Source organism: Homo sapiens, chromosome 17, assembly GCF_000001405.40.
Source record: "Homo sapiens chromosome 17, GRCh38.p14 Primary Assembly".
In the NCBI taxonomy this organism is placed as follows: domain Eukaryota; kingdom Metazoa; phylum Chordata; class Mammalia; order Primates; family Hominidae; genus Homo; species Homo sapiens.
In genome coordinates this window covers 79,965,102-79,984,939 of record NC_000017.11, presented here as the reverse complement: position 1 = coordinate 79,984,939, position 19,838 = coordinate 79,965,102, and the positions used below count along the sequence as shown (strand labels likewise).

At 49.9% G+C, this 19,838-nt stretch overlaps 1 protein-coding gene and 1 long non-coding RNA gene across 28 annotated transcripts in view, besides 3 other annotated features; both read left to right on the top strand.

The window, feature by feature from the left end:
- Positions 1 to 19,838, top strand: part of TBC1D16 (TBC1 domain family member 16) — a 103,530-nt gene that overhangs the window by 50,933 nt on the left and 32,759 nt on the right. The window lies entirely within an intron of this gene.
- LOC124904073 (uncharacterized) lies at positions 2,773 to 5,938 on the top strand. Its single transcript, XR_007065930.1, has 2 exons — positions 2,773 to 4,880; positions 5,412 to 5,938. It is a non-coding gene; the product is annotated as an uncharacterized LOC124904073 (long non-coding RNA).
- Positions 6,566 to 6,745: a silencer, noted in NCBI's record as "fragment chr17:77951994-77952173 (GRCh37/hg19 assembly coordinates)". NCBI's record gives its function as "represses an EF-1alpha promoter that drives an FKBP-Casp9 reporter gene in an ReSE screen in HepG2 liver carcinoma cells {active_cell/tissue: HepG2}" and the evidence as "EXISTENCE:reporter gene assay evidence [ECO:0000049][PMID:32094911]".
- Positions 9,525 to 10,429: an enhancer, noted in NCBI's record as "H3K4me1 hESC enhancer chr17:77948310-77949214 (GRCh37/hg19 assembly coordinates)". NCBI's record gives its function as "activates a minimal SCP1, AML or CMV promoter by ChIP-STARR-seq in naive H9 embryonic stem cells {active_cell/tissue: H9 hESC(naive)}" and the evidence as "EXISTENCE:reporter gene assay evidence [ECO:0000049][PMID:30033119]".
- Positions 9,961 to 10,010: a silencer, noted in NCBI's record as "silent region_9096". NCBI's record gives its function as "represses an Ori minimal core promoter by ATAC-STARR-seq in GM12878 lymphoblastoid cells {active_cell/tissue: GM12878}" and the evidence as "EXISTENCE:reporter gene assay evidence [ECO:0000049][PMID:35858748]".

Here is a 19,838-nt window from a genome sequence, read left to right as displayed (position 1 = left end):
AGCTCCATCGCAGGGCTGTGTCCGAAGCTGGAGGATGGTGGGGTGGGTGGGGGGGAGCCAGAGGGAGGCCTTAGGACCTGCTTTTTGTTTCTGTTATGATCTGAGGTCTGACTTCAGTGTGGTCTTTTCACCTGCTTGTCTTAGTTCCCTGTTGATCCTATGGAGGGATTGCTTGGGGCTATTTTTGTTTTGGGGAGGGTGGTTTTTGCTCTTTTTAACTGTTTTTTTTTTTTTTGCCTTTACTGTTTTCCATGTTTTGGAGGGCTTTTGTTTGTCTCCTTTCCTTCCTTCCTTCCTTCCTTCCTTCCTTCCTTCCTTCACTCCCTCCCTCCCTCTTTTCTTTCTCTTTCTTTCTTTTTCTTTCTTTCTCTCTCTCTCTTTCTTTCTTTTTAATTATAAAAGTAGCACCTGCTCCTAAGGAAATTCTGGGAGATAGGGAAAAGACAAAAGAAGGGTGTGAAGCCCCACCATACCCAGCTCACCACCGTTAACTTTTTGGTGTATTTCCTTCAGCCTTGTGTTTACTTTTATTTTTTATTTTTGCTTCCGATGCCTAAGTTATTTTACAGAGTTGTAGACAGGCAGGCTGTATATAAAATTCACTTTCTTGGTTTAAAATTTTTTTTGATTTTAGGCCAGGCACAGTGGTTCACACCTGTAATCCCAGTGCTTTGGGAGACTGAGGTGGGAGCATCACTTCAGGCCTGGGCAACATTGTGAGATCCCATCTTTACAAAAAAGTATTGAAAAATTGGCTGGGCGTGCTGGCAGATGCCTGTGGTCCCAGCTACTTGGGAGGCTGAGGCAAGAGGATGGGCTTGAGTCTGGGAGTTCAAGGTCAGCCTGGGCAACAAATGAGACCCCCGCCCCCCCACCCCGCCATCTCTGTAAAAAATACAAAATAAATAGTCAGGTGCTGTGGTGCCTGCCTGTAGTCCCAGCTACTCAGGGAGGCTGAGGAGGGAGGATCCCTTAAGCCTGGGAGATCAAGGCTGCAGTAAGCCGAGATCATACCCCTGCACTCCAGCATGGGTGACAGAGCATGACCCTGTCTCTAAATAAATTTAAATTTTTTTTAAATTTTGTCATATTTGATACATGCCAAAGAATATTTGTAGCATGTAAACCATGAAACACAATCATAAATGAACCCCGTGACCCAGCGCCCCCTGTGTCTGAACTAGAGCTTCCTAGGAGGCCAGTGCTCCACTCCTTCCTCCCCAGTCTGGTCGTTCCGTGCCCCGGTCTCCAGAAGGAACCACCTTCCGGAATGCCGTGGGCGGCACTTCCTTGCTCTCCTAAAGCAGGCTTTGCACACATGTGCACTTCTCAACATTCTGCCTTGCTTTGAGCCCTAGGAAAGCGTCCCCGTCTTTGTAGCCGTCGGTGGCTCAGCTCCCCGTGCCTGAGGTGCTGCGGGTGCTCACTCCAATAGGGGGACACTGTCTCCATGGCTGTTCCCCAGGTTGTCCACACTCCTGTTGATGACCATGTGGTTTAGTTTGGGTTTTTCTCTGTGAATGATGTCACCTTGACAGCTTCTGTGCACACCTTTGGTGCAGAGGGACAGGAGCCCCTCCGAGGGGCCCCTGGGCCCTGCAATGTGCACTCAACCTCCTAAGACACACCGACTGCATTTCCTGGGGTGGGGCCAGCTGAGAGTCCCTGAGATTACATGGTCTGTCTTGCCATTCTCAATTCATGCCCTGCCATAAACCCCTCCCGCGCTGCCACGTCTTCTGAACCGCCACTGGGTTTCACGCCTGCACAGCGGCCTGTTGGTGAGGGACGTAGCATTTCACTTGCCCATGCCCCTTCCATGGACATGGAGCTGTTCCCGGCTTCCCGCTTGTCCTTGATGAACACGTCTGTGCTTGGAGCTCTGCACACAGAGGCTCGGGGTGGATGCGTGTGCACACACACAGGGATTCCGCACAAACGTGGATGACGCAGGTTCAGTATTTACGTGTACACACATATGCATGCACAAAGAAGTTCAATGTCATATTATTTATTTTACAAAAAAGTGGAATGAGTAACATCCCAATTCTTGCCTACAGGGAATTTTTTTGTTTTGTTTTGAGACAGAGTCTTGCTCTGTCGCCCAGGCTGGAGTGCAGTGACGTGATCTCGGCTCACTGCAATCTCCGCCCCCTGGGTTCAAGTCATTCTCCTGTCTCAGCCTCCCGAGTAGCTGGGATTACAGGCACCGGCCGTTACACCCGGCTAATTTTTGTATTTTTTTTTTTAGTAGATGCGGAGTTTCCCCATGTTGGCCAGGCTGGTCTCAAAGTCCTGACCTCAGGTGATCCACCTGCCTCAGCCTCCCAAAGTGCTGGGATTACAGGCCTGAGCCACCACCACGCCAAGCCTCAGGGAATGTTTAAAGAGATGCACGGTACCTGTACACACGTGCACACACAGGTTCGGTGTATTGTGTGCAGACGTGAACACACAAAAGTTCAATGTGATATTATTGACTTTACAGAAAAATGAAGCTGGGCACAGTGGCTCAGGCCTGTAATCCCCCTACTTTGGGAGGCTGAGGTGGGTGGATCACGAGGTCAGGAGTTCAAGACCAGCCTGGCCAACATGGTGAAACCCCGTCTCTACCAAAAATACAAAATTAGCTGGGCTTGATGGCGGGCGCATGTAATTCCAGCTACTCAGGAGGCTGAGGCAGGAGAATTGCTTGAATCTGGGAGGCAGAGGTTGTGGTGAGCCGAGATCGTGTCACTGCACTCCAGCCTGGGTGATAGAGTGAGACTCGGTCTCAAAAAAAAAAAAAGAAAAAAAAACCACACAAAGAAAAACGACAATGGAAACAACCCAAGTCTTTGTCTATAAGGAATGTTTAGAGAAAACGTGGAAGCGGCCCTCAAAAAGAGGTGCAGCTTATCCCTGCATACCGACAGGGCTAAGGCCCTGGATATAGTAACTGAAAAATTCCAGGCGTAACACAATGTTGACAGCACAATCTCACTTTTGCTTTAATACATGTGCATGTGTGTGTGTGTGCGTGTGTGTGTGCGCACAGGGAAGCCCCGGAGGGCCGCGTCCTGCTGTTCCCTGGCGCGCCCTTGGAGGAGTGGGATTGAGGTTGGGCCGAGGCTGCTGCTGCAGGGACGGATGTGGGTCTGCTTCGTGCCCGTGGCAGGTTCAGCGTTATGTGCAGTGAGCACGTTCTTGCTGAGATTACAGAAGAGCCGAGGGAGCCGCTCCGAGGGTGGCGCGTCCCTTGCCTCCGGTGTGGGAGGTGCTTCTTTGACTGTAGCCCTCCCAGCTTTGGAGGTTTGGCCTCCCCGCTTTGGAAAACGAAGTGTTGCTGGTAGGATGGCTTAAAAATCATGTTCATGCGCATTTCTTTATCACCGACGATCTTGAATATGTCTCTGCGTGCTTGTTCACCTGGTGTCTTCTTTTGTGAAGTGTGTGCCAAAGAAGGAAGGGGTTAAACTTGTCGGGGGCACCCAGAGCTTCCCTGGCTTCCTCCCTTCTCTCCGGAAAGCTCTGAGGAGGTATTAGAGGATTGCTGGAGGTGGAGGCCCGAGGCCTTCTCCCAGCAGGGCCCGGGCAGATGGAGGGTCTAAGAACATACCCGCCGCTGGTGAACAGCCATTTTGCTCTAAGAATTTTCTGTCGGCCAGGGCCCCAGTCCTGGTTTGCGTCAAATCCTCTGAGCCGGGCCAAGCAGTGCATTGGTGCGGAAGATGCTGGCTCCCCTGAAACTAGGCCCAGGGGATGGGAAAAGCCGAGTGGAGATTAAGGAGGGAGCGAGGAAACGATGCCTAAACAAGTTCTGTCCTTCCGTCACTGCTGCCACGAGGGGCTAGATACAGAATTCAGCTTTGCTGTGACAAGTGTGTGGATGGAATTTAAATGAATATAAATGAGTAGCCAAGGTCTTATCAAAGGATGTTGGTGATTGGTATCATGACTGTTTGCCCTTTGGGGTTGGGGTGCTGGAGAGTACCCACCAGTTCCCTCAGGGCCTCCCGGGGCCCAGGTCACGTCACAACCCCTAGCCATGGTCCCAGCAGCTCCCGGTCAGCTCTGGCTCAACTCACAGGCTCCCCTTCCAGCCTGCAGGAACAGTAACGGGGACCAGGGCACAGATTCGGGCAGTCCCAGGTGTGCCACTGAGTCCGAGAAGATTTTTGGGAAGCACCAGTCAGTCCTGCACGTTACGTCTCTGCTGTTGGGGTGCGCGGAGGCGGTTCGAGTGAACCCTGGGGGGCTGAAAGGCGGGACCAAGCCATGTGGGATGTCACAAAGCCCAGCAGCTCAGAATCTAGAAGGTTCTGGCTTTCTGTTCCCCGTTCCTGCCACCCACTGTGTCTCTTCGCCAGTCCCTACACTGTCTGCACCACAGTGTCCTGGTTAGGGAGAGGAACAGACTGGGCCTGGTGATCTTCAGGGTCCTCCAGGGCCTGCGGGTTCTGTGTCTTTTTCTGGACAAACCCTGGTTACACCACCCCACAACGTAGCGGCCCAGACTCCCACTGCATGTTCCCCTGGGAACCTCTTCTTAGTGTCTTGTTCCTCCGGGAAGGAAGGAAAGCTCCGGCTTGTTAGGCGGAATTTGCTGACCCTACATGGTGGTCAAGAAGCCCGTGCCGTGAAGCCAAGAGAGAAGGGGAATTTGGGCTGCAAGCCTGAAAAAGAGTTCATGAAATTTAATCAGATGCCTAAGGGGAACACCTAAATTTAGTCAAATTATTATCAGTATTCACTCCATTTTTAAATTGCCTAGGGGAACGTCACGGAAAAGTTGGGAAGCCACCAGCCTGGGTGGTGATTATTCTGTTTCTGCAGAGCAGTGGGATGCGCTGGGAGGCTCGGAGGCCCAGATGAACCTCGCGGCCACCCTCCACGGCACGGTGAGCTGCTCCTCCAGGTGCAAGGATGGGCTGCCCAGAGGGTCTGGGGAGGCACCGGTGCCCACAGCCGTGTTGGGCAGGCCTGAGGGCTTCTTGTGTTTGGCCATAATGGATGTGTCTGGGACCTGGACCTTGGCCTCCTGCGCCCCAAGCTCTGGCCCGCAGAGCCCACCACCTGGAAGCCAGAGCCCACCCATAGCAAGGCCTCTGTCTGTGAAGACCCCTCCCCTCCTTGCTACTTGGTTATTCTCTGGCCTCAGTCTCTGCTTGGTTCTCTAGTCAGGGTGAGCTTTTGGTGGATGTGAAGGGAGACCAGGGTCCTTTCCTGCTCCTAGTGAGAACCGTGGGATTTGCGGCCTGACAGGTTACATTCCTTTCCGGGCTGATGTCCCAGCTGTGTTTGCAGGAAACAGTGAAGGTCGACGTGTGCCTTTTTATGGCACCGAATAACCTGGACCTGCGACAGGAACCGTGAGCGTCTTTCTGTCCCCTAAAAGTATTTGGATACTAATTGACTGTTTGGTCCTGCAGAGATGACACAGGGACGTCTTCACGCCCAGATGCATTTGCAGCTATGCGGTCCTCCCGCCTCCCGCTTCAGGCCTCTCCCATCTCCCCTGGGTTTCCACACAGTGTCGCAGCTTCACCTCGAGAGGGCCACGTGATTGGCGGCACTGGGGATGCCTGAGCCCTTGATCCCTCTGCTGGGGTCCAGGGCGTGGGTGTGCATCCCTGGAGCGTGTGTGCTCTGGGCGTGGGTGTGCGTCCCCGGAGCGCGTGTGCTCTGGGCGTGGGTGTGCATCCCCGGAGCGTGTGTGCTCTAGGCGTGGGTGTGCGTCCCCGGAGCGTGTGTGCTCTGGCCTTCCCTGCCCAGCTCCTATGGCTCCTCCTTTCCCTAGGTTGGGCAGAATCTCCCAGGTGTGCTGCTGATGGACAGGCTGAGAGCGTGGAGCCCACGAGGGCGCTTTGGTTTAGAATCATCTCATTGGTTTGCCCACGTTAAGCTCCTATAAAATCTAGGGGAAAAAAAATAAACATTCTTTTTGGGTTCAGAAAAATCTCTTGGCTGTTTTCTTCCCAGTAATGTGTATTTCAAGGACGAAGTCGAGAGGGAATGAAAACAGAACGATTGGCTCTCAAAAGCCTGGTTCAGGAGCAACTGGGAGTGGTCTCTAGACTGCTTGAGCTATTAATTATTTTGCTTTATTTATTAGATGTACCCAGCGTCCCTTTGCCTCCAAGCATATTTGCAAATGCCTTAAGGGAAAAAGAAAAACAAATGATTCCTGCCATCAGAGTCTCCAGCCCTTAATGAATAACACCGTGTAATCACGCTGAATGGAAAAAGCCCAGTACGGCATCACGTGCACGTCCTGAGTCTAAGTCGTCACAGTCGTAAATGCACGGGACCCACGGAAGCTCAGAAACTCGTAACAGCTGTGAGATCTGTTCAGTGGAATTTTTCTTAATTTCCCTGGGAAATCCACAAGGTCACTCCATATGACTAAGAAAAAATTAAAACAGAAACAGCACTCAAAGGCCTGGTACATTCTCTCCTCCTACCTGCCGCGGATTGTTGCCCGCCCGCCACGGCCCCCACCCCGCCCCCACGGCTGGCAAAGGAACAGAAGAAAGGCCGGGCCTGGTTATCTTTTCCTAAACCGTGCTGGTAATCAACCTGAAGGATGTGCCTGCCCGCTTCCTCCCAGTGATTTACACCTTCCCTAATTAGCCGTGATGTTGCAGATCGGCAGAGTTAATCGCCGGAGCGGAGACCCTGCCTTCCCAGTTCCCAGCAGCTCTGGCTCTGGGAGTGTGCCGCCCATGCCGCGAGGAGCTGCGATTCATCCCCGCCCCGCTTGGCCCTGTATTTTCCGGCCTTGCTGCTCCCAGTCCCTCTGGCTGGAAAAGCCAGGCTGTCTCGGTGCATGCGGGATGTCGGCGCTCCCGAGCTCGACCGTGACCATGGGGCAGGTTCTAGGCCTGGGATGGCAGAATCCGGCCGGCTGTGCGCCCATCACTTAACATTGCCACTTATGTCAGAAATGGCAGCTTGAGCCTAATAGAGCCAGCTTCCCGTGGGCCCCCCTCAGCATCCAGGCCTCTGAAAAGCTTAGGGGTCCCACCCCGGCAGCAGAAGGCACCGCAGTCGCCGAGGCTTTATTGCTCTGCCTCTTCGAACTGGCAGCCGCATCAATCGCCCTCCCGTGCACAGCCGGCTGGGCTCTGCGAGCAGACTCCAGAGCTGGGTCTGGCTGCCTCTGTGGTCAGCGGGAAGCTGGCAGAGTCCAGCCTCTCGGCTGGATGAGTCCAGTACCGCCGTGTGCACATGTGTGTGTGATGCTAATTATGCCAGACGTGCTTCAGTTTTGCTGGGAACAGTTAGCTTACTGTGCATTTTAGAAACTGCCAGGATTTTAGAGCCTAATGGGGTTCCTAGAGATCGTAGCGTCCAGCCAACTCATCGCCGTCTCACAGGTGGGGGAAGGAAGGTGCGGAGAGCTCTCTCTCCTCCGTCACCCCCATCCTGCTGCGTGCCAGGCCCTGTGGGGCAAGGGTTGCAGAGATGGCTGAGACATCACCCTTGCCTGGGGGACCAAGACACACCAGTGGGTTGCAGATGCTGGGAAGGGGCCAGGTGGAGGGATGAGGCGTCAGGGAAGGTGGTCTCTGCCTCGTTGGAGTCAGAGACCCGGAGGTGGAGGCTGCTGCTCCACACGGACCCCTTCCCATCCCATCCCCTCCTCAGCCTTGTAATCTGTGTGACCTGCACGTCCCTGTGCACCGGGCCGTCTCTGGGATGGGGCGGGGCTCCATGCATCTTCCCTTCTCTTCGCTTACTGAGGGTGGTGGAGGCAGTGGGGCTTCAGGAAAGCTTTGGACGTTGGGCTGGGGTTCGCCTCGTTGGGGAAGGCGTGAAATGACCCAGGCAAAGTAGGATATTCTGGTGGACGGATCACTGAAAAGGATGAATTCATGGGCAACAGAGATGCTTGGGTTGAATGCTGGATTTTATTCCTCCCTTCCTCCTGCCAGAGGCTCCTGACACTTTTGTTTTAAGTCACCAGAGCAGCTCAGCAGGCAGGTAGAAACTGCCCCATCCCGTGTTCCCTGTAGCCTTCTGCAGGGCAGGCCTCACCTGGGCTGCGTGAAGCAGGAGAGGATGGGATGAGAGGGGCTGGGATGGAGCAGCAGCCTCCACCTCTGGGGACCGATTCCATAGAGAGGAGTCCTTCAGAGTTTGTTTCAGATGAATGGAAAGGCACTGTCAACGGAAGAGGCTTCAGAAAAATCTCAAGCTTGCTGTTCCCTTTGGCTCCTGCCTCGGGGGACTTAAACCCTCCAGGATAATGACGTGGAGAAGACCCCAGGGCCCAGTGTATCAGGGCCAGTTTGCATCCAGCATCCCTGCTGAGTCAGGAGCGGCGGGGGTCTTGCTGTTTGGATCTCTGGACATTCACCAGAATCCCCTAAGCTGGTCTTTGCACGGTGTGTTTCCCTCACGCTTTTGAGCTCATCTTTGTTGGGAAGGATGTGGGCACACCGCACATGTGACCGACGCAGTCATTCGTTTCAGGCGTGTAAACACACACACGTGCACACACAATACCGTGACTCTAGCCTTCCTCCATCCTCTTCTCTCTAAAACTCCTCTTCCCAAATGTCCAGTGGGCTTCTTGTCTGTGGGCCAACATTGGAAAGCCCTGCGTGAGAAAATGCCTTATGGTTAAAACATAACAGAGGCTAAAGAGCCATTTTCCCTTGCTGCAAGAGAGACAGCCTGGGACAGTGCAGGGGCCGGTGTGAGCAATGACCAGACCTCTCTGAGCCTCAGTCTCGGCATCGACATGTAGGGTACCAACAGAGGAGCAGGGCTCTTGCATAAGCTTTTAGAGTAATCACTGCCCAGTATAGGTTGGTTCTTATTTGATTCCATCTCGCTCCCAGGTTTGCCTAGACAAGGGTTAGTAAGGCCGAGGTCACAGGTTGACCTGGATGTGCACCTGTTCTGCCTGGCGGGGACAAGAGAGAACTTGGCAATGGCCAAGTCTGACACTGCTGCCTGGCGTCCCCATGCCCTGACTGGCTCCGTTGCCTGGGGAGCCGCAGAAGCTGTGAGGGTGCAGGAAGGTCTGTGCCCATCTCGTGGCCTGGAGAGCCGCCTGCCGGAGCTGCTGCTGCCATCCTGAAGCCCAGAGCTCTGCCCGGTCTCTGCACAGACCCCGTCATTCCAAAGTGGGGCTCATGCTCTGCAGGTGTGGGCAGACGCAGGCATTGCCTGAATTTGTATTGTACTAAGGGCTGCTGGGAGCGTTAGTGGGCAGCCAGCGACAGGTTTGGGCTGGCTGGGGGTCCCGAAGCTGTGCACAGTTGGTTGCAAACTGGAGGAAAAATGATATTTGTCTTTTCACTTCAGGGTGGACCTGTTGTGGGCGGTGGCTGTCTTCATGCACGACCCCCCCAGTCCCCAACCCTCTGTCACTCGTTGATCCTTTGAAATCAGGAGCTGGGTCTCCAGAGGGCATTGCGGTTGCTCCCGGTCCCATTCTTTTGAGCAAGCTTTTTGTGTAACTGATCAAGGAATCTTCACAGGGGCTTAAAGAACACCTGGCTGGCTCTCAGCAGCCTTTTAAGTAGGCCATGTAGGAGGCAAGGGTTCCCAGGAAACCTCACAGCCAGCTGGGGCCAAGGGTGTGAATAGGACCTGGCAGAAATTCCAGTCGGCCAGAGCTCAGGCTGTACAAAGCTGGGCGTTCCAATCCAGGTAGATTACAGGAGATCGGGTTTGTTTTGTTCTTCCTTGAATCCCAAAGACTAGCTTTCCTGACACGGAGTTCACCAAATGCAAAGGGAAAAACAAAACAAAATGAAACAGAACTCGCTGTCCAAAAATCCAAAGCCCTGCTGGAGGGTGAGGAGTGACGCGGCCTGGCGGATTGTTCCGGGTGTTTGTGGCCTTGCAAGTAACGTTGCGCCCACTGGCAGTGGGGACGGCATGGCGAGGAGGTGACGGAGCAGAGGGCTTCTTCCTTGGGCCTTCTTACCTATAGAGGGCGCAGTGGCTGCGGGGGTGGCCCCAACCCCAGGTCAAAGGCAAAAACCGAGGCCAAATCAGGAATCGGACAGGGAGGTAGCCACAAAGTCACTCTGAAAGCAAGGCGCCCAGGCTTCTCCCTCTTTCAACGTTTTTGAACCTATTCCACAAACTCCTCAGCATCATAAGATAAACCTGAGCGTGAACCCAGCCTCCTACCAGCCCCACCTGTGAGTTGGTGCAGCCTTTGCTGGGTCCCCAGGGTTAGCTAGCCCTACTGTGTGGGTGCCACGCCTGAGAAGAGCCTGGGAGAGCCAGGGAAGATAAGGGAATGTGCTTTAGGGTGGAGGAAGCCAAGAAACTCTATGGTTCACCTGTTTTTTGGTTTTTAGTTGCAATAAAATACATATAGTCCCCCCTCACTGCAGCTTTGCTTTTTGCAGTTTCAGTTACCCTCGGCCAACCATAATCCAAAAGTATTAAATGGGGCTGGGCACAGTGGCTCACACCTGTAATTCCAGCACTTGGGGAGGCCAAGGCAGGTGGATCACCTGAGGTCAGGAGTTCGAGACCAGCCTGGGCAGCATGGGGAAACCCTGTCTCTCTAAAAATACAAAAATTAGCCAGGCGTGGTGGTGTATGTCTGTAATCCCAGCTACTTGGGAGGCTGAGGCAGGAGAATCGCTTGAACCCGGGAGGCGGAAGTTGCAGTGAACCGAGATTGCACCACTGCACTCCAGCCTGGGCAACAGATGAGACTCCGTCTCAAAAAAGAGAAAAAAAAAATTAAATGGAAAATTCCAGAAATAAACAATTCATGAGCTTTAAATTGCATGCCATTCTGGTAGAGTAATGAAGTCTCCTACCCTCCCCCTCCATCCCGCCAGCTGTCTGGGTGATCAGATCGGCTGCCCTAGGATCTCAGTGCTTGTGTTCAAGTCACCTTTATTTGACTGAATAATGGCCCCACAGCACCAGAGCAGTGATGCTGACAATTTGGATATGCCAAAGAGAAGCCATAAAGCGCTTCCTTTTAGCGAGAAGGCGGAAGTTCTCAACTGAATAAGGAAAGAACAGAATTCTGTGCTGAGGTTGCTACGACCTCTGGTAAGAATGAACTTTTATTACAGTATATTGTTTTGGGGGAGGGTTTTGGTTTTGTTTTTGTTTGAGACAGGGTCTTGCTCTGTTGCCCAGGGTGGAGTGCAGTAGTGTGATCATGGCTCACTGTAGCCTCCCAAGTAGCTGGGATGATGGCATGCACCACCATGCCTGGATAATTTTTTGTTGTAATTTTTTTTTCTTTTTTTTTTTTGAGACAGAGTCTCGCTCTGTCGCCTGGGCTGGAGTGCAGTGGCGTGATCTTGGCTCACTGCAAGCTCCGCCTCTGGGGTTCATGCCATTCTTCTGCCTCAGCCTCCTGAGTAGCTGGGACTACAGGCGCCCGCCGCCACACCTGGCTATTTTTTTTGTATTTTTAGTAGAAACGGGGTTTCACCATGTTAGACAGGATGGTCTTGATCTCCTGACCTTGTGATCCGCCCGCCTTGGCCTTCCAAAGTGCTGGGATTACAGGCGTAAGCCACTGCGCCCAGACTTTGTTTTAATTTTTTTTATAAAGACGGGGTCTAACTGTGTTACCCAGGCTGGTTTTGAACTCCTGGGCTCAAGTGACCTACCCGTCTCAGCCTCCCAAAGTGCTGGGATTACAGGCATGAGCCACCGCGCCCAGCCACTTCTATTTTATTATTATTGTTGTTCATCTCTTACTGTGCCTAATTTGTAGATTAAACTTTATCATAGGTGTGTATGTATAGGGAAAACATAGTATTTATAGGTTTTGGCACTATCCAAGGTTTCAGGCACCAACGGGGGTATTGGGTTGTATTCCCCTTGGATAAGGAGGTACCACTATAACATAAAATTTACCATTTTTGTGTTTTGAGACGAAGTCTCGCTCTGTTGCCCAGGCTGGAATGTAGCAGGACGATCTCGGCTCACTGCAACCTCTGCCTCCCAGGTTCAAGTGATTCTCCCGCTTCAGCCTCCTGAGCAGCTGGGATTACAGGTAGGCACCACCATGCCTGGCTAATTTTTTGTATTTTAGTAGAGACGGGGTTTCATCATGTTACCCAGGCTGGTCCCGAACTCCTAAGCTCAGGCGATCCACTCCTGCCTCGGCCTTCCAAAGTACTAGAATTACAGGTGTGAGCCACCGCACCCAGCCTTAATCATTTGTAAGTGCACAGTTGAGTGGCAGTGGGTATATTCACATTGTTATGCAGCCATCACCATACTCTCCACCTCCAGAACTTTTTCATCTTCCCAACCGAAACTCTGTTCCCGTTAAACAACTCCCCATCTCCTCTCCCCCAAGCCCCTGGCAGCCTCTATTCTACTTTCTGCCTCTGAGATTGACTGCTCTGGGGACCTGATAGGAGTGGAATCATGCAGGGTTTGACCTTCTGTGTCTGGCGTCTTTCACTTAGCGTAACGTCAGGTGTCATTCATGCTGTAGCCTGTGTCAGAATCTCCTTCCTTTTTAGCAGGGCGCAGTGGCTCACACCTGCAATCCCAGCACTTTTTTTTTGGGAGGCCAAGGCGGGTGGACCACGAGGTCAGGAGTTCGAGACCAGCGTGGCCAACATGGTGAAACCCTGTCTCTACTAAAAATACAAAAATTAGCCAGGTGTGGTAGTACACGCCTGTGATCCCAGCTACTCAGGAGGCTGAAGCAGGAGAATCGCTTGAATCCGGGAGGCGGAGGTTGCAGTGAGCCAAGATTGAGCCACTGCACTCCAGCCTGGGTGACAAAGCAAGACTCCCTCTCAGGGGGAAGAAAAAAAAAGAATTTCCTTCCTTTTTATAGCTAAATAACCTGCCATTGCATGCAGGGACAACACTTTCTTTCTCCATTCACCCATCGATGGACACTGGGCTGCTTCAGCCTCTGGCCATCATGAATGATGCTGCTGTGAACACGGGGTACACATACCTGTTCGAGTCCCTGCTTTCAGTTCTTTTGAGCGACCCTTTTTAAAAATCAATGCCAGGGCCGTTTTCAGAGCACTCCGACCTGTCCTCCGCAGACCTTCCTTGTCCCTGCACCCACTCAGGCTCTTTCTTCCCCACAAAGACCCCCACAGCCAGCCCCCATGCCACCTGCTCCGAGAGGAAGCCTTCCAGAGCCCCCATCCCTACCCCGTGGGATGCTCCTGTCTGACACCTCCCAGCAGCTCACAGTCCAAGTGGTGTCCAAATTATCCACATCCTCAGCTCACCTCCTATGAGGTCCATGTCTCCTGGTGGGTCGGGCACCAGCTTCCTCAGGTCTTCCTTGAGAGAAGTTGACTGTTGTAGAGAAGAGTGATTGACTCTACTTTTATGAGTCAAGTTGAAGAATACGTTAAAGACTCTTCTTTTCTAATTGCCCCTGAGCCATTATTCCAAAATGGTGTCTACCAGCAACATGGGAAGATACCTTCAAGTGTGTGTAAACCTGCAGAACGAACTTTGGAAGAAGAGTCACTCAACTGCTGACCAGGATGACCTGGGGGACAGGGCTTCCAGACCAGGATGACCTGGGGGACAGGCTTCCAATGCCGATTCTGCACACTTCAGTCTTTTTAAAATTTTTAACCACAACGTGAATTTATTTACCACTTGCAAATGTTAAGCAACTTAAAAAATACTGGGAGTGTGGGCCGGGTGCGGTGCCTCACACCTGTAATGCCAGCACTTTGGGAGGCCGAAGTGGGTGGATCACCTGAGGCCAGGAGTTTGAGACCAGCCTGGCCAACATGGTGAAACCCCATCTCTACTAAAAATACACAAATTAGCCGGGCTTGGTGGTGCACGCCTGTAATCCCAGCTACTCAGGAGGCTGAGGCAGGAGAATGCCTTGAACCCGAGAGGTGGAGGTTGCAGTGAGCCGAGATAGCGCCACTGCACTCCAGCCTGGGCAATGGAGACAGACTCCATCTCAAAAAAAAATAAAAAATAAAAATACAGGGAGTGTATATTAATGTAAAATTATTTACAATATGAGATCACTTCCATTCCCACACTGGGAGGAACGTAAAACTCAACAATGCAAGAGCAAACTGCATCTCTGTTTCCAGAGGGTGGCGCTGTTTTTGCACCGGGCTGACTCTCCGTTTCCAGGGTGGCGCTGTTTTTGCACTGGGACTCGTACAAGGACTGGTGCTTTCTCTGATGTGCTTAGCTTATTTCAGGCATGCATTTCCCCTGGGCTCTCTGCTAGCTCTTCACCTTTCTGCAGGCTTCACTGAGGACCCCCAGGTCCACCTCTCTAGAGTGGCCGTGCCCAGCCCCTCCACCTCCCACCCTGTGCTCATTCCCTTAGAGCACCCCATGACCCGTTTACCGTTTGCTGCCTGACTTCCCACCACAATGAAGCTCTACACAGGTGGCAACCTTGTCTCGTTGTCTGCAGGTTGAGAGGGTGGGGGACACCCAGAACTTTTTATTGCAGAACAAATATTTTCTGAGGCCATGCTTTGTACAAGACCCTTTGGTGGGAGATGTACAAGATAAATCAGACGGGAGAGAGCGGGTGCATAGTGACCTTTTATTCACATAGCATAAAAGTCACCCTTTTAAAGTGTACAATGCAGTGGCAGTTAGTACATTCATGAAGCTGTGTAATCACAACCTGATTCCAGAACATTTTCATCCCCCCAAAAAGAAACCTCATACTCTAGCAGTCACAGCCCAGCCCTTCCTTCCCCAGCCCTGGCAGCCACTAACCTGCTGTCTGTCTCTATGGATTTACCTATTCTGGATATTTCATATAAATGAAATCATAGAACACGTGGCCTTTTGTGACTGGCTTCTTTCGCTTAGCATCGTGTTTTCAGGATTCATCCGTGTTGTAACAGGCCGGTACTTCATTCCTATTTATAGCTGAACAGTATTCCATTGTATGGATGCCACGATTTCCTTATCTGGTCATCAGTTGATGGGCATTTTTCTCTTTTTGGATATGATGAATAATGCTACTATGAACATGTGTGTACATGTTTTTATATAGACATCTATTTTCTTTTCTTTTCTTTTCTTTGAGATGGAGTCTCGTTCTGTTGCCTAGGCTGCAGTGCAATGGCGTGATCTCGGCTCACTGCAACCTCCGCCTCCCGGGTTCAAGCGATTCTCCTGCCTCGGCCTCCCAAGTAGCTGGGATTACAGGCATGCACCACCACACCTGGCTAATTTTTGTATTTTTAGTAGAGATGGGGTTTCACCATATTGGGCAGGCTGGTCTCGAACTCCTGACCTCAAGTGATCCACCTGCCTTGGCCTCCCAAAGTGCTGGGATTACAGGCATGAGCCACCGTGCCCGGCCCTATTTTCTATTATCTAGGATATCTACCTACGAGTGGAATTACTTGGTCAAATGTTAACACTGTGTTTAATTTTTGAGGACCTACCAAACTGTTTTCCACAATTGGCTGCTCCATTTTATATTCCCATCACCATGGAATGAGGGTTCCGATTTCTCTAGGACCTCCTCACCAACACTTATTATTTCCCATTTTTTTATTATAGCCATCCCAGTGGGTGTGGAGTGGTATCTCAACGTTGTTTTTGACTTGTATTTCTTTTTGTTTGTTTGTTTTGAGATGGAGTCTCACTCTGTTGCCCAGGCAGTAGTGCAGTGGTGCAGTGTTGGCTCACTGCAACCTCCACTTCCTAGGTTCAAGCGATTCTCCTGCCTCAGCCTCCCGAGTAGCTGGGATTATAGGTGTGCACCACCACACCCGGCTAATTTTTGTATTTTTAGAGAGATGGGGTTTCACCATGTTGGCCAGGCTGGTCTCGAACTCCTGACCTCAGGTGACCTGCCCACCTTGGCCTCCCAAAGTACTGGGATTACAGGCGTGAGCCACCACGCTCGGCCTTGATTTGCATTTCTCCAGGGAATAATGATGTGGAGAATTTTTCATGTGCTTATTGGCCATTTATATCTTCATTGGAGATATGTCTATTTAAATTATTTGCCCATTTTTAAATTGAGTCATTTGTCTTTTTATTCTTACATCTTAAGTGTTTTTAAAAAATATTTGGGTACTAGTCCCTTGTCAGATATATGATTTGCAACTATTTTCCTCCCATTCTATGAGTTGTATTTTCACTCTTTTTTTTTTTTTTTTTTTTTTTTTGAGACGGCATCTGGCTCTGTGGAGTGCAGTGGTGCGATCTCAGCTCACTGCAAGCTCCACCTCCCAGGTTCCTGCCATTCTCCTGCCTCAGCCTCCCGATTAGCTGGGACTACAGGCGCCCGCCACAATGCCCGGCTAATTTTTTGTATTTTTAGTAGAGACAAGATTTCACTATGTTAGCCAGGATGGTCTTAATCTCCTGACCTCGTGATCCACCTGCCTCGGCCTCCCAAAGTGCTGGGATTACAGGCGTGAGCCACCGTGCCCGGCCTCACTCTCTTGATAGTGTTGAGTTTTAAATTTTTATGAAATCAGATTTATCTATTTTTTTCTTTGGTTGATTGTCTTTTTGGTGTCATATCAAAGTATCTATGTTTTCTTCTAAGAGATTTATAGTTCTAGCTCTTACACTTAAGTCTTTGATCCATTTTAAGTTAATTGTTGTAGACAGTGTGAGGTTATGGTCTGACTTCATTCTTTGTATGTGGCTATCCAGTTGTCTCTGTGCCATTTGCTGAAAAGACTATTCTTTCACCCGGTTGGGTGCAGCGGCTCATGCCTCGAATCCCAGCATGCCTATAATCCCTTTGGGAGGCTGAAGCAGGCAGATCACTTGAGCTCAGGAGTTTGAGACCAGCCTGGCCAACATGGTGAAATCCTGTCTCTACCAAAAAATACAAAAATTAACTGGGTATGGTGGCGCACGCCTGTAATCCCAGCTACTCAGGTGGCTGAGGCATGAGGATCCCTTGAACTCAGGAGGCGGAGGTTGCAGTGAGCCGAGATCTCGCCACTGCACTGTAGCCTGAGTGACAGAGTGAGACCCTGTCTCAAAAAAATTTTTTAAAGATTATTCTTTTATCAATTGAATTGTTTTACCAAGCTTGTTGGAAACAATTGACCATAAACTTGTGGATTTATTTCTGGACTCTCAATTCTATTCCATTGATCAATATGTCTATCCTTATGCCATTATCACACCATATTGATTACCGTAGCTTTGTAGTTAAGTTTTGAAATTAGGAAGTGTGAGTCCTAATTTTTCAATGTTGTTTTGGCTATTCTGGGTCCTCTGTATTTCCGTATGAATTTTAGGGTCAACCTGTCAATATCTGCAAAAACGGTAGCTGGGATTTTGATAGGAACTGTGTTGAATCTGTGTATCAATTTGGAGAGTATTGCCATCATAACAATATTAAGTCTTCCAATCCATGAACGTGGGATGCCTTTCTGATTATTTAGGTCTTTAATTTGTTTCAACTTTTATAGTCTTAAGTACACAAGTCTTGTACTTGTGTGTGTACGTGTATTGTGAAGAGAATTGTTTTATTAATTTTATTTTTGTGTCGTTCATTGCCAGTGTATAGAAATACAATTAATTTTTAGACATTGATCTTATATAATGCAAACTTACTGACTTCATTTATTGGTTTCAGTGGGTTTTCTGTGTGTGTATGTGTGTAGATTCCTAATGATATTCTATATGCTAGATCATGTCATCTGTTAATAGAGATAGTTTTACTCCTTTTTTTCCAATCTTCTTCCTTTTCCTTTTTAAAATTTTATTTCTTTTAAAGATTTTATTTTTAAAATCTTTTTGCATTTTATTTCTTTATCTTGCCTAATTTCCCAGGTAGACCTTCCAGCACAAGGTTGACTAGAAGTGGTGAGAGTGAATATCTTTGTCTTGTCCCAGTTATATGGGGGAAAACTTTTAGTCTTTCACACTTAAATTTGTGGGGTTTTTTTTATAGTTGTTGGTTTTTCATAGATAACATTTATTAGATTGAGGAAGTTCCTTTCCGTTTTTAGTTTAGTGAATGTTTTTATTTTGAAATGCTGTTGGATTTGTCAAATGTTTTTCTGCATCTGTTGAGATGATCTTGTGTTTCCTGTCTTTTCTTTTACTAATCTAGTGTCTTACATCCATCTATTTTCATATGTTGAACCAGTCATGCATTCCTGAGATAAACCGCACTTGGTCATGGTGTACAACTCTTCTTATATGTTGTTGGGTTCAGCTTGCTAGTATTTTGTTGAAGATTTTTGGGTCTATTCAAATGGATCTAAAGTTTTATATTCTTGTAATGTCTTCGTCTGGTTTTTGTATCAACAAATGACTTTTATACAAAGTCAAAAGCAAAACACATGAAAAAAAAGACTGATAAGTTTCTAAGGATTTTCCAAGGGATAAAGGGAAATTAGCATATGTTGGACCTGCTGTATGTTTCAGACACTTTGCTTAGTGGCTTCCCTGGGGATTGAAGGGAAGCAACCTGGAGGAAGTAGTGTTTGAGCGGGGCCTTGGAGAGTGGGAAGAATTAGAAGAGAGAGAGAGGCAGAGCAGGCCGACCAGAGAGAGGGACCCACATAAGCAAATCCTGGGGAGAGGAGGTCCTGGGGTATGGAAAGGAAGTGAGCTGTCATGTTTGCCTGTGATCTAGTGGGGGCATGGTAAGGGGTATACTGGATTGAAGAGTGTTCCCTCAAATTCATGTCCACCTGGAACCTCAGATTGCAATCTTACTTGGAAATAGGGTCTTTGCAATTAGTTAAGATGAGGCCATTCTGGATTAGGGTGGTCTCTAATCCAGTGAGTGGTGTCCTTCTAAGTAGAGAAAACAGAGACACAGTAGACCCATATACAGAGGGAAGAAGGCCACGTGATGATGGAGCAGAGACTGGAGTGATACAGCTGCAAGCCACGGAAGGCCACAGATTGCCAGGAACTGCCCGAAGCTGGGGGGACTCAAAGGAGGAGTCTCCTAGACTTTCAGAGGGAGTGTGGCCTGCTGGCACCTTGGCTTCAGGCTTCTGTCATCCAGAAGTGTGAGAGAGCACATTCGTGTTGCTTTAAGCCATGCAGCTGTGGTGTTTCCTGCAGCAGCCCTAGGAAACTCATGCCAGGGAAAACAAGGAAAGAGGCGACCAGGCCAATGTGTGGGGCGGGCTCAGTGCCCATCTATGGATGGGAGCTTGACTGGCAGACAAAGCTGACTGTTGATAGTTTCTGAGCCAGGAGCAGGGGTGAAGGGGAGAAGTGGACACAGTTTCAGAGGCATTCTTTCATAGATGTTGTTTTTAGAGTGTTGTCTTCTTTTCCAGTTGATGTGACTGCTGTCTCTGGAAGGCATATGCCAAAAGAGTCAGGAATGTGAGCTTCCCATAGGTCACGCCTAGCTGTCCATCCTGCCCTGCTGTGGGCCATTCTGAAACCCGGGGACATGATTCCTGGCCTCGGTCTCCTTAGCTATAAAATGGAGTGCTGTCTCACCCACAAGGTTTATGTAAGGAAGTCTTCAAAGCAATTAGGAGAGCTCCTGGCACACAGGAAGCTCCAATAAATGGTAGCCATGACGATAATTGGTTATTTTGCCTCACCTTTTTCTTTTCTAAATTATTATTTTTTTGTTTTATAATATTAAAAGAAACACAGGCTTCTTTTTTTAAAAATTAGTACAGGCCAGGCGCGGTGGCTCACACCTGTAATCCCAGCACTTTGGGAGGCCGAGGCAGGCGGATCATTTGAGGTCAGGAGTTAAAGACCAGCCTGGCCAACATGGTGAAACCCTGTCTCTACTAAAAATTCAAAAAAATTAGCCGGGCGTGGTGGCACATGTCTGTAATCCCAGCTACTTGGGAGGCTGAGGCAGGAGAATCGCTTGAACCTGGGAGGCGGAGGCTGCAGTGAGCCACCAAGATCACGCCACTGTACTCTAGCCTGGGCGACAGAGCAAGACT